This window comes from Homo sapiens, chromosome 9 (assembly GCF_000001405.40).
Source record: "Homo sapiens chromosome 9, GRCh38.p14 Primary Assembly".
Lineage (NCBI taxonomy): Eukaryota > Metazoa > Chordata > Mammalia > Primates > Hominidae > Homo > Homo sapiens.
In genome coordinates this window covers 69,175,066-69,189,372 of record NC_000009.12, presented here as the reverse complement: position 1 = coordinate 69,189,372, position 14,307 = coordinate 69,175,066, and the positions used below count along the sequence as shown (strand labels likewise).

Sequence of the window (14,307 nt, the reverse complement as noted above, 5' to 3'; positions counted from 1 at the left end):
CTGGGGAAAGACAGTGAGGAGAGAAATAAGCACCCTTCCCAGGGTTCAGTGGAGAAACAGGAAAGAAGCAAAATTTGTATGTGGAGACTTCCTAGGTCTTTCCACCCCTTGGGCTGGTTGCTCTGTTTATCAGTGTCCTCCTCCTCCAGGCTGTCCCGAGGCCAACATCTCGGCAGTATCTGCTCCATCACCAGAATGTTCTGGCTTCAAAATTCCCTATCTTCATTCCCAATCAAAATTATCTCTTTAACAATGTGTATGGTGTCAGTTAGATAGTAGAAGAAAGCTGACTAGTCTACTCCACATTAAAGTGTGGCTGTCTGATAGCCTAAAACCTCTTGGAGGTATTTGATGTTTTAGGGGATGTACTTTGACCCCAAGGTAACTTGCAATGGAATTCCAATCCTCAAGGCAAGCTCCCAAACACAGCATATCTAAGTTTTTCCTTCCAATTCTATAACCCAGGAGTTTGTAACCATAAGTTTTTCCTGATATTAATGATAGTTTTTGAGTGAAGGGGTTGATGGGACAACACAGCCATTTCTAACTGGAGGCTATGGACTTGAAGAAAGAATACTCTCACATGATAAGACATATTCTTAATATTTCTATAATAAAGTTGTGGTTTTAGCTAGCTGTATACATAATCACTTAATACCTCCCTGTAAGGCTGTGTCTTAGAGGCAACTTAGAGTCTTTGGGGTCTCATACAGTAATGAACACACAGAGGTCTCTGATGAATGAAGACATCTCTTGACAACATTGATATGTTACTTTTACTTAAGATTCTCTAGGAATACAAATATTTCTATGCACTTTCAGCGATGATGTTTAAACTCCTAATAATCAACACAGGGCCTTGAGCTTCTCCTATTTTCTTGCCACTGTGATTCTAAAAAGCAGAGACTGGTGGAATTGACAGAATCTACAGGTTTCAAATTCATCAAATGGACCTTGGCTCAAATCCCCTCCCTGTCACACAAGCCGTGTGACACTGGGCAATTTACTTAATGTTTCTGAGCCTCCGTTTCCCACCTATAAAATAGGGTTAACATTTACTCCTAGTTGACTGGGAAAAGTCAGTGAGATCTACACCAAGGGCCTACCACCACATCAGCCCTGTGATCTCCTTCCCCAGCTTTGCTAGAGAAAAGCTAACCAAACGTGGTCTTACAGCAAAACAAACCACACCTTACTTTGTCTCCTGGGCTCCGTCATGGTTAGGCATTCAACAGATCAGAAGTTCCACTTAACACATGGGAACTGAGCTGGAGTGAGCCAGCCCCCAACGCACCCCATAATATTTGTAGAACTCAAGAACACATTCTCAGAGCAGTTCTATAAGCTCCGCTAATGCACATTTTGGACTTCTCAGTCCAATAACACAAAGCCACAGGTTCAGAAGATCTCCATATTTCCTGCAAAGTGCTTTTTTCAGGAGGCAAGGAATACTCTAAGAAAAGGGAGAGAATACACCCCCAGTGTGATAAACGTGTGCTTATCACATTCCAGTCTTTTGAGACTCACCTTCTCCCTTCTCTTCCTTTCACCTTCCCCTATTTACTGAGCAACTACTCTACATCATGCCTACCTAGGAATGCAAAGAACCAGCCCTGCTCTCAAGAGCTCACAATCAACACCCCCTAATGTTAAAACTGACCACCCATCCAACAAGAGGTGGAATCCAGGCCAGTGGGTTTAGACCCTCACTGAAAACACACCGATCTTCTGAAAGGATAAACCCATGCACTGAAGCCTGTATCTAATTGAGGACATTTTTTACAGTTCACTGTTTCCCAGCATTCCTTTTGATTACGCTCGTCTCAGTCAAAAAGCTTATGTTGCTTATGTTGCTGAAAGATAAAGGACTATCCATGTAGCAGACTACACTAACATAGTCAGTATATCTCAAATTGGAACAGACGAAAGAGACAGAGAAACAGAAATGACAGCATCCCAGTTTTGACAACACAAATATAAAGCCAGCCGACTAAGTCTGGTAACAGTCTGGAGTGGTATGTTACAGCTGTTTTTTCAGGACAGTTCATTGCTGTGATATAATCCAATCAGGTCAACATTTATATTTAATCATCCAATCACACTCAAAGACAATTCAGAACAACAATGCAATTGTTATTTGGAGCTTACTACTAAGCCAAATGAGATGTTTTTCCCCCACATAGACATGTGTATGTTCCTTCTGTTCTATTAATAGGCGAGAGAGATTCTTTCAGGCCGTGCATGCTGACTGCAAATATTCTTTCTGTGGTAGTAAAAAGGAGCAAAAATATTGCCAATTTATGTTTCCTGGAAAAGTACATCACAAACATGATACTTAGAAGTTTAGCAATGCCTGAACTAATTTTATTTTTAGCCCAGTCCTGTTTCCCCACATTTCTCAGCAGAAACGCCCACAGAGAAATTTATCTTTAAAAACCAGGTGACTAACAAATTCCTGATTGTGGGGAGGTTCCAGGGACTAAGGAGGAAACTGATGGAATTTCAGCTGCCTCTCTTAACTTTCCCTAACTTTTGTGTAATATTAGTTCACTTGACAATTTATTTCTAAAGAATATTGTCAAATCAAAATACACGAAGCAACACCACGGGTCCCTTCCTCCAGCTGTAACACTACTAGCTGAAATATTTATAGATATTTGGGTCAGAAATACATACATTGATTTAAAACCAAGCATTTTTGCCAAAAGGAGTGAATTAGGTCAATGCCCATAAGAAGCTCCCCTCTGGCTCTATTTTCCAGTCTCCAAACAGTGAAGCCCTTTGTGCATTGTGTATCAGCCACTGTAAACTGTTTGGACATCCATTGTTAGCCCTGGCCGACTAAAAGTCTGGAGAAAAAGAGATAAAACCAAATTCTGTCAATATATTTCTAGCACATTCATTTACTAAGCAAGCTTTACAAACAGCCAGCTCACTTGAACTGCTAAACCAGTGGCTGAAATAGTCACTGGTTATACTTATCTTTCCATTTCGAATATTTGCCTTCCTTATCACTTCAAATTTCTCTGCAAGGAGCCTTCGGAAGTAGTACTACAGAAGTATGCCTAAAACGTTAATCAATACATCTTGACCACTCCATTTCTAGCAAATTACCTTAGGGCAGTAATAGTAGGGTCCCTGGAAAGTAAAATAGGTCTGGGTTATAGGAAAAAGTATTTGAAGGAGGAAAAAATTCACATTCTAAAGTTAAGAAAAACTCGGTTCTTTCCACATGTGACATCATTACAGACAGGCTGTTGCCAACATTGGTTCAAGATTTTTAAATGTCTTAAAACCACTACATTGGCCGGGCGCGGCGGCTCACACCTGTAATCCCAGCACTTTGGGAGGCCAAGGCAGGCGGATCATGAGGTCAGGAGATCGAGGCCATCCTGGCTAACACGGTGAAACCCCATCTCTACTAAAAAATACAAAAAATTAGCCAGGCGCAACCGAGACTCCGTCTCCAAAAAAAGAAAAAAAAAAAAAAAGGACTACATTATAGCTCATGTTTCATAAAATAAACTTATAATAGGACAGACACTTCTGCCAGCTGTTTTGGTAGACTACAGTGTTCCCTCCGCGAGAGATTTGAGGTACAAAATATGATAAAAATCTTCCATCTCATTTATCAGAACACAAAGGAAGCTAAAGACAGGGAAAAAAGTAACCCCATCTATCAGCCAGATTTATATATTACCTTTTATTTTATTAATAATAAAGTGGAATGACTTTAAAAAGAAAACACTCATTAGGTTCCATAAAATTATACATTAAAGCAGCAACTCTTAGAATTAAGTCACCTTTCAGCTCTACATTAACTTACAGACTTGAAAACTAATTTCTCAAGCTTATACCTTTAGAAAAGTACCTAGAATCACAGAGCAATAGATACAGAATCTGGAAGGCCCTTCCAGAAAAACAACACCTTATGTGACACGGAGCTCTTACAGTGGCATCCATGTGACTATAAAGTGAAAAGAATGAACATCCGTTACAGAAATCAGTCTGGGTCGGACACGGTGGCTCACGCCTATAATCCCAGCACTTTGGGAGGCCAAGGCAGGCAGATCACCTGAGGTCAGGAGTTCGAGACCAGCCTGGCCAACATGGTGAAACCCTGCCTCTACTAAAAATACAAAAATTAGCCGGGTGTGGTGGCACCCACCTGTAATCCCAGCTACTCGGGAGGCTGAGGCAGGAGAATTGCTTGAATCCGGGAGGCAGAGGTCGCAGTAAGCTGAGATTGCACCACTGCATTCCAGCCTGGGCAACACAGCAAGACTCTGTCTCAAAAAAAAAAAAAAAAGAAATCAGTCTGCTGCCCAAGCGTGGTGACTCACGCCTATAATCCTAGCACTTCGGGAGGCCGAGGTAGGAGGATCGCCTGAGCCCAGGAGTTCAAGGCCCACCTGGGCAACATAGACAGACCTCATCTCTACAAAATATTTAAAAATTAGCCAGGTATGGTGGCGCATGCCCGTGGTTACAGCTAATCGGAGGCTGAGGTGAGAGGATCACTTGAGCCAGGGAAGTCGAGGCTGCAGTGAGCTGTGACGGCACCACTGCACTCCAGCCTGGGTGACAGAGCAAGCCCGTCTCAAAAAAAAAAAAAAAAAAGAAGAGAGAGAGAGAGAAATCAGTCTGAACTGCAGCAGCAGTTCTTGAGGAATGATGAAAATAATAAATTATAACCACTGCCATTTACTGAGCACCTCAAAGCAACCCCAGGTGGCATCTATGCCATTTCTTCTTTGCTGGCACTGAGTTTCTGTTTCTACCAGAGATCCCCCATCTCTCTTGCCAACAGGGTTCTACCAGCGAGGTACACGTGTTTGAGATTTGGAAGGATGAAGGAAAGCAGAAGCCATTTGTTTTTCTTCTTCCTACAGACAGCAGCAGTAGCAGGCAAAAGTTGGATTCCTCAGACATGAGCTTTACAGCATGTCCAGATTCCCTGCCCTTTCACCAGCCTCAAGGCTGGAGATGCTGAGAAGGTGGAAGGTCAAGCAAGACCTTCTGAGTCTTCTCTGGGTGGCAGCAGCTTTCTAACTTTTTTTGCGGCAAATCAGAAAGCCAGCGGTGGGCTTCCATTTTTTGCGCATCTCGCCTTTTCTTTGTCCTGAAGGCAACTAATACTCTGTATTGAATCCCCTTCTCCTTGAAATAGCTAGAATGACATGTCTTCTTGACTGAACCATGACTGATAGGGTAGGCCTATTTTACAACTGAGAAAACTGAACATGAGAAAAAGGTAAATTGCTCAAAGTCAAGCAAGCAAGTGGCAGGACAAAAGAATTCACACCCAGGTTTATTTGACTTCAGAGGTAAAGAATCAAAGTTAAACATCTGTAACCTGGCTGGGCGTGGTGGCTCGCATTTATAATCCCAGCATTTTGGGAGGCCAAGGTGGGCAGACTGCTTGAACTCAGGAGTTGAAGAGAAACCTGTCTCTACTAAAAATACAAAAATTAGCTAGGTGTAGTGGCGCATGCCTGTAATCCCAGCTACTTGGGAGGCTGAAGCAGGAGAATCACTTGAACCTGGGAGGCACAGGTCGCAATGAGCTGAGATCATGCCACTGCACTCCAGCCTGGGTGACAGAGTGAGACTGTCTCAAAAAATATTTTTTTTAATCTAAAATAAGTTTTTTAAAAAATCCCTAACCTATGGTCCTAGGAATTCACACAAGAGAAATGGGTGTACATGTCCACAAGGCAATGTGTAGGTGCTTTTCATGGCAGCTTTATTCATAATAGCAAAAACACTGAAAATAACCCAAATACCTATCAACAGAAGAGATAAGCCAAATGTGACAGATGCATATAAATGGAATACGACTCAGTGGCAAAAAAGAACTACTGAATCTCACGCAACAAATACGGATGAATTTCACAGAGGTTAGGTTGAGTGAAAGATGACAGACATAAAATGTTGATTTTATTTATATATGGGTCCTCTCCCAAGTTCAAGCAAAAGTGTTCCACGGTGAGAGAAGTCAGAAGAGAAGTTCTCTTTTAGGTAGGTGTGGTAATCATTGGAAAAGTGGCAAGAGAGAACCTTCCAGAGTGATGGAAAATTCTAGTTTTTAATCTAGGTGGTAATCATGCAGGTGAATACATTCATGTAAAAATTCACCTACCTCTGGAACTAGAGAGTGATGGTGTTTACAAAATACTGTGAGTGTATTAAATGCCATTGAATTTTATACTTTAAAATGGTTAAAATGGTACACTTAATGTTATGTGTACTTTACCACAATAAATAAAATTCCCTGGCCAGGCACAATGGCTCACGCCTGTAATTCCAGCACTTTGGGAGGCTGAGGCAGGTGGATCACCCGAGATCAGGAGTTCGAGATCAGCCTGACCAACATGAAGAAACCTTGTCTCTACTAAAAAAAAAAAAAATACAAAATTAGCCGGGCATGGTGGTGCGCACCTGTAGTCCCAACTACTCGGGAGGCTGAGGCCGGAGAATTGCTTGAACCTGGAGGGCACAGGTTGTGGTGAGCCGAGATGGCACCACTGCACTTCAGCCTGGGCAACAAGAGTGAAACTCCATCTCAAAAAAAAAAAAAAAAAGAAATTCATCAAGCTCTCTACTTGAGATTTGTGTGTGTGTATATGTATATACATACATATAAATTCAACGAAATTGATAACACAGAAAAAGCTTCATTATCAATAAGCAGACTTGTAACAGAGGTCGTGCCACTGCTTCTACAGGAAAATTTTCTTCATGGAAACATACCAGGCAAATTTTTTTAGCTCTAAGTCTGGCAGATTGAGTCTACCTTTCCTGCCTCTTCCAGATCCTTCACTGCCCAAAGTCATCTGCCAAACTGTGCACTTAAATAGTATAAGTAGACTAAATATTTCTCTCAGACCTTTGATTAAAATTCAATTTAGGCTCAAAACGAACTTGGGGCCTCTTCCTTTCAATGTGTTGCAAACTTGGGGCTTCTTCATTTCAATGTGTTGCCACTTGCCCTTGTTTTTAGGCTTTAACAATAACACCAGAAGGAAACGCACAAATGTTTCCAGCTCCATTTCTGGAAAATTTCAGTGAGTGTCTAAGATGCCACAATGTCTCTCCTCTCTTAAAACTCACCCAGACACTAAACAGACCAGCCCAAGGAAGGCAAAGTGCTCTGCCTGAGGTGACGTTGAAAAACTCCAACATGCCTGAAGTTATGCTGAAACTCAGATGACAGCAGTGATTTTACACCAGTGAACAATGTGGTTTTTTGCAGCAGTGACCAGTAGGCTCATCTTCAACACATTTGTGAAGAACAAATCAGAAAGGGCTCCCAGCTGCAGGCCTGCCCCTCCTTCCAAGCGTATGTCACAGGCAATGAGGCCCGGGGAGAAGTCCATGGGGGTGGAGAGGAAGAGGAAGAGGAAGAAGGATTCTCAAGAAGCTCTGCAAGATGGTTGCAGTTGCTGGCTTAAGCTGCAAAGTAAGGAAGAGAATCCAGCACACGTGGTGCTGGTACATAATTTAAGCTGCAACTGAATAATAGATCTTTCCATCACTTTATGAGCAAAACAACTACCAGCCACTCTTGGACTCTGTCTTTTTAAAAAATGCTTTTCAGAGATAATCCACTGGATCTCTAAAAAAAAAAGAAAGCAAGCAAGCAAACACAAACGTAGTTTAAGGAGCACAAAAACATTTTAAGATGAGAAGAACCAATGGAAATAATTTAGAATGTTCTCTAGGCTTTATACTCAAACTTCAAAACCTTCAGAATCTTAAGCACAAAAGACTTTGAGATGATCAACTGTAACTACTCATTTTCTGATAAAGAAACTGAGAACTAGGCCAGGCGAGGTGGCTCATGCCTATAATCCCAGCACTTCGGGAGGCCAAGGCAGGCGGATCACGAGCTCAGGAGTTCGAGACCAGCCTGGCCAACATGGTGAAGCCCCGTCTCTACCAAAGATACAAAAAATTAGCAGGGTGTGGTGGCGTGTGCCTGTAATCCCAGCTACTTGGGAGGCTGAGGCAGGAGAATCGCTTGAACCTAGGAGGCAGACGTTGCAGTGAGCTGAGATCGGGCCATTGCACTCCAGCCTCAGCGATAGGGCTAGACTCCACCTCAAAAAAAAAAAAAAAAAAAAAAAAAAGAAATTGCAAACTAGAGTCACAAGACAGCAAAAGCCACCCAGCTAATCAGTGGTGCAGCTAATGCTGCTTCCATGCCATTACAAAAATGGTCTAGATGAAATTCTATAATTTTTTTTGGACAAAATTCTCTGGATGAAATTCGCAATTCTAACAAACGATCATCTACTCACTATATAAATGTCAGGAATCCACTGTCCTAATTTCTCAATTAGTCTCTTATTCCTACTAGCTTATACAACAAGCCTGCCCCAAATCAAGTCAGTCCAACGTTTAGTGGATGTGTTGGTGCTCTGTTAGCTTCTGGGGTTACCAAGATGACTCAGACCAGGGAGGGGCTCAGGGCTGATGGGAAGTGATAAGGGCTAGAATAAATACTAGCATGTGCATCCTCACCAATCACAGGCAAGAACACAATTGATTCAGCCAGACTGCAGAAGGGTAACGCAGAAACCAGGCTGCTAAAACTGAGCTCACCAGGAAGTTCCTTCCAAATGATTCATTCCTTTCAAAAACAGAAATGTTTAGTTTTGCTAATTAATTCCCTCAAATAATTTCATCTGCTTTGCCATATATACCTAGGAACAGTCTTCCAAGGACTGAGAGCAGAATGATTGTCTCTCGAAGCCTACATTACTTACTCCTATTCCCATTGTAGAGCTCCACCCAGGGTCTCAGGTGTGCTCAGCTTTAGTAGGCATCAAAGAAACACAACCTAGAACTCGGAACACTTCCTTTAATACTCTGAAAACAAATGACTCTCAACAAATGGAAAAAAATGGCCCCAAGTGGAACATTATTTCCCCCTCAGAAGAACCTAGAAGGTCCTTGAAGCTACATGTCCTGGAAGAGTTAATTCCTACTGATGACTAGAAAGTACTGTTTTCTCTGTTTACCTTCAACTCAAGTGACAAAATCCAAAGTATCTGCAATGTTCTCACGTCTCCACCAAAGCTTTTAATACGATGGCAAAGGCATAACTGGATTTTAGTCACATTCTATTCATTACAGCCATAACTGTTACCTACCAGTAAGAATAACTATTCTAATAACTCTCTCCCACAATGGGTTACAAACATTCCCTCCAAATGCCTGACTTGTCACTAACTCGTGTGTTTAGTACCATAGTTATATAGGGTATCTATAATATAGAGCATACTGTAAAGTTTCCAAAGATGATACCATGTTTTCTCTGTGAACATAATGCATATATTTAATATGGCTGATTAAAGTCTACAATAGAAATAATAATTACCACACTAATTAATTCTGAAGTCCATGTTCACATACACATATAGGTAAAATTTAGTGAACATGTGTACTCAAGAATGTGACATAAGATCCTTGCCATGATTAAAGGTATGATTCGAAATCTTTTGGTCAGCCTAACTTACTAAAACACAAATATTTGATTCATGGAAGATCCATTAAGAGATTCACTTTCAGCCGGGCGCGGTGGCTCACACCTCTAATCCCAGCACTTTGGGAGGCCGAGGCGGGTGGATCACGAGGTCAGGAGATCAAGACCATCCTGGCTAACATGGTGAAACCCCGTCTCTACTAAAAATACAAAAAATTAGCCGGGCGTGGTGGCGGGCGCCTGTAGTCCCAGCTACTGGGGAGGCTGAATGGCGTGAACCCGGGAGGTGGAGCTTGCAGTGAGCCGAGATCGCACCACTGCATTCCAGCCTGGGCGACAGAGGGAGACTCCGTCTCAAAAAAAAAAAAAAAGAAAGAAAAAGAAAAAAGTAACTTACTTTCACCACCACCGCTGTTACTGCACCCCCATACAGTAACTGTAGGAAAACAAAATAGAAACCATAACCACTGATATTCTAATTGAGCTAAAAGGTAAAATAAACATTCATTATAACAAAATGTATCTGACTATGGTCTGCAATATACAATGGTGTGTAAATGGTTAAGGAAAGCTACATTACGTTTTTCAGGTTAAAAAACCTGATTTAACTTTAACCATCTGGCAGAGGCACTAAACAAACATCTGTGCTGATTTTAAATGACTAAAGTACAAGTTACTAATTGAAAGCTTAGGATTTCTCATAAATGGTGTGAACACACACATCACTAGAGAGTCTACTGAAACAGTATTTTCTCTTCTCCTTGATTCATTCGCCTGCCATGAGCATGCATCTCTCTAGGTCAAAGCAGGGATACTTGTTTTCTACCTCAAGGCTTCCTGTTCCTACGAAAATCCTTGTTAAAGCCTATTTTACAGACCAATACAAGCTTCATATTAAAAAAAAAATAAGAAAAAAAAACTCATCCAGTTGGCATTCTTCTGAAAGACTTTGAGAAATTAAATGCATTTACAGGTGAGGCTGTTTGGCTGTCCACATTCTTCGGCAATGAATCATGAGCAAGAGTCACTTGATAATACAGTGATGTCCTTCATCAGTGTCAAAATACTTCCTCCCCTATCACTCTATCATATCAAAAATATCATACCAACAGACCTTTAAAAACTGCAGAATGGCTTGTGGAAGCAGAGAAAGGAATGAGAATTGGGCCAGACGTTAAAACAAACAGCTAGCTCTACAAATACACTGTCTGCAACCACATCTAAGAGATCTGAGTGGATAAGAGCAGGATGCACACGCTTAAGACAGAAAGTCCATCAAATTCAACTTTCCTGGCTATTCTGGGCCATTCTGTGTTTGACTTTCTTGAAGGCGTGGTCAAGGTATACCAGGCTCTCTATAAGTAAGCACCACACTCATATTTTAAGCAGTATTATGCACACCTCAGATGTCAAGGGCTAGCTTTACCATTTTTGCCTTAGCCTCATATTACTCATTCCCAGAGTTGATAATTTTTCTTAAAGCAAACTCACTGCTTTACTTAATATTTATTTTTGCCTCATTCTAAGCAATCTAGCCATGAAATAAATGGATGTGGTAGCTGGTTTTCTGTTTTTATTCCTAACATATAATATTCATGCATCATAATTGAAAAATAGAATATGTATCTCTCTGCACCACCTGTAAGTCTGTCTGTATACCAGACTTTGGAAAGCACTGTTTTGGGATAGCATAAAAGGTAGAGAAAATGCTTTATTAAATGATTAGGTATTTTGGGGGTATGATAGTCCTTACTCTGTCTCCTCTGAGAGCTCACAGGTTATCTAGGATGATGAAGCTTTGGTTGTTTAATGGCCAGCTGGATGATAGAGACACCAATCCCTTTAAAAAACAGAATGGAGCCGTCACTGTTATGGGTAGCCATTGCCCCAGCTTGTGCAGGTCTTCTGGGGCTCTAGCTGTCAGTCACCCAGTTCTAAGAAGTGCTTTTCCTAATCAAATGGAAAAAGTGGAAGCAGACACTCTCCAACTCGGAACTCTGCCTCTCACACTACAATGTATGCAGCATACTAGCTCAACTGCTTTCCTAGGTACCATCCAAAATTAAAACTAGTGGCCGGGCACGGTGGCTCACTTCTGTAATCCCAGCTACTTTGAAGGCTGAAGCAAGAGAACCGCTTGAACCCGGGAGGCAGAGGTTGCAGTGAGCCAAGACCGCACCACCACACTTCAGCCTGGGCAACAGAGCAAGACTCCATCTCCAAAAAAAAAACCAAAAAAACAAAAATAAAATTAAAACTAGCTACTGCAATACTGCATATTGGATTTCCATGCCTGAATTTTTTTTTCCATTGCTATCACACAGCCTTTTCAAAAAGTTTAATAGTAATACCACCTTAGACCCTCCCAAATTCACTTTCTATATGGGCATCTACTAAAAAGGCTGATTGCAAAAATTCCTATGAGGGAGAAACAGGCCCTAAATAGCTTTTTAAACCTTAACAAAGTTCACATAACCATTGATGTGTTTAACCCACTAAATGGGTGTTAAATCTAACCTCTGAGTCTGTGTTTCTGACCCTAACCCTTGGATTTAGGATCAAGACAAAAACTCAGTAAAACACCAGAGAAAACTGTTCTGCTTCCCTCCACTCCCATCTGGGGCAATCTCACCCTCAGACACTACCATATACCAAATCACCTTCTCTGGAAAATCAAGGCTGGTTGGTCCAACAACTGTTGGGCCCCTGATTACTGCTTAGAGTCAAATCAATGAGGCATGTTATTGGGAATCAGCTCTCAACCTAGATAAATTCATCTGTAGCCACAACTGCTTAATGGGATTCGTTCTAGAGATGAGGCAAGGAATTCCCTGGTGGCTCATATTGTTGGTAGAATATGTTGAAAGTTTCAGCAGTGATTGCGAACCCTTCTACCGCTTCACCCCGCCCCCACCACACCCAAACTTCATGCCTCTCCCCAACCAAGTCTGCATGACTTTTTAAATTACTATTTATATTACTACACATATTATTGTACACAGGACTAAAGTGGCCCCGCCTAGTTTCAATAACTTGTGTCTCGTAAAAAGATAACCTTCTTAAGGAGAGAAAACCTTGCTAAACTCAAAATCTCCCTTGCCTTCAGCAGTATGCAGAAAGTTCTCACACTTGTCCTGAAGAGAAATGGTTGGCTGTGAACTTTTGTCAGTGTACAAAGAACTAGATCAAAAGTTAAATGTAGGCAGAAGTCATTGCAAATGCAATTCCCCCGGGGGTGATGTAAAAATTCATTGGTCTTAAGCCTATGAATGCCTCAAAAATAGTTATGGGGTGGGATGTTTACTGGGAAACTGGTTCGCTTCTTTTGTAGGGAAAGTCAAGTCATTTAATACATGAGGGATTTCTGACTTCCCCCCACCCAAAGCTTCGTTATGGCCTTCAAGGCCTTTTAACAGAGTGTGAACAACAACTCTTTCAGTTTTTTCCTGGACACCTACCTGGCACCTCCTACTTGTATCTTTAGATCTCACCTCCCTTATCAACCCAGGACCCAACACTTAAGAGTTTTCAGCACCCGTTTTGTTCCTATTACTAGCTACCACCATTTACGTAGCATCCACCACATGCCTTGTACTCTCTGTCATTTCATTCAGACCTCACTCAGCCCGGTGAGGTGGGCGCATTACTGGCCCCATTTTCTATAGTGGCTTGCTCGGGTGAGGTAACTGTTCAAATGCCCTTTATTCCCAGCAAGAATCCCCTGAAGGGAATGCATATAGGACCAATCCCACTCTTTGCTAAATTTCTGTATTGCAGAGTGTGCATCGGCATCATACATTCCCTCCCTCAGTCTCAGGAATCCCGACACAGATTGCAGAGTAAAGTCTAACAGTTTCAGGTCCACTAGACCCCTAAATGCAGAAATTGAATCTTGTTCATCTTTGTATCCCCCACAGTGACTGGCAGGAGTAGGGGCTCATTCAGTATTATAATATCTGGATGGTACTGAAAAAGTTACAGCAGCATTTCAGAGGGGAAAGTTCCCCTTCATCAATCTGCATAAGTAGCTCTGAAAAGAAATAAAGTGGCCCCACTGCAGAAGTAGTTCTGAAAAAAACACAAGAAACACCTCAAAAGCCACCGGTGCTTTAGTAAAGCACCTCCGCTTCTGCCATCTCCCCACAATGAGGAAGCTCCAGTACCCTGTCCACATTTCTAAATGGCACTCATCGGATTCTTAATGAGTTGCAGGCTTTCCCAACGGGACTGTGTGACAGAGCCACGCTCTTGCTCATCTGCGTAATCCCCACACTGAAGTGGAGTTGTTCATGAAAACTTACTAAATAATCAAATTTCATCCTCTCAAGCAGGATATGCAGTGGTACTTTGCTACAAATACATTTACCACTACGAATTTCTCACTTCAAGCGATCTCCTGCCCAGGTGTGTGCTCTCAGAAAATTACATCTCTTTCTGAATTACGCTGGCAAAGGTGGACCTGTTTTCCCAAAAGGACCGTCAGCACACCCAGCACAGACCACCTGGGGAGCTGAAGAAAACGACCTCCCTCCCTCCTCCCCGCTGGGATTCCCCGGGCTGAGAGCGTGAGTGAGAAGCGCAAGGCAGTTTCTATCATGGGATGACTCTCCGCTGGGAACTTCAGGGAAACCACAACCATCATTACTCAGGCCAGACAGCTGCCAGAAAAGCAGCCTAGCCTAAGAACTGAAGCTGAAATAGAGGTGGGAGGCTGTATTCCATTACTAAGCGCGGGAGCACTCACTCCCAAGTTTGTCCACATTTCAAGAATGTTAAAACCCTGTGGTAGAAATCCCTGATTATTTATAACTTAAACT

General features: G+C 42.0%; 1 protein-coding gene across 14 annotated transcripts in view, besides 1 other annotated feature; it reads right to left on the bottom strand.

The window, feature by feature from the left end:
- Positions 1–14,307, bottom strand: part of TJP2 (tight junction protein 2) — a 133,945-nt gene that overhangs the window by 65,836 nt on the left and 53,802 nt on the right. Inside the window, exon 3 of one of the 14 annotated variants that reach the window (NM_001369871.1) lies at positions 4,169–4,286. The exons of 12 other annotated variants lie outside the window; for them this stretch is intronic. The gene's annotated coding sequence lies outside the window, so the exon portion shown is untranslated. Of the gene's footprint in view, positions 1–4,168; positions 4,287–11,243; positions 11,331–14,307 lie in introns of all 14 variants that reach the window. One more of the 14 variants, XM_047424092.1, reaches the window with a different exon arrangement.
- Positions 13,998–14,187: an enhancer, noted in NCBI's record as "active region_28447". NCBI's record gives its function as "activates an Ori minimal core promoter by ATAC-STARR-seq in GM12878 lymphoblastoid cells {active_cell/tissue: GM12878}" and the evidence as "EXISTENCE:reporter gene assay evidence [ECO:0000049][PMID:35858748]".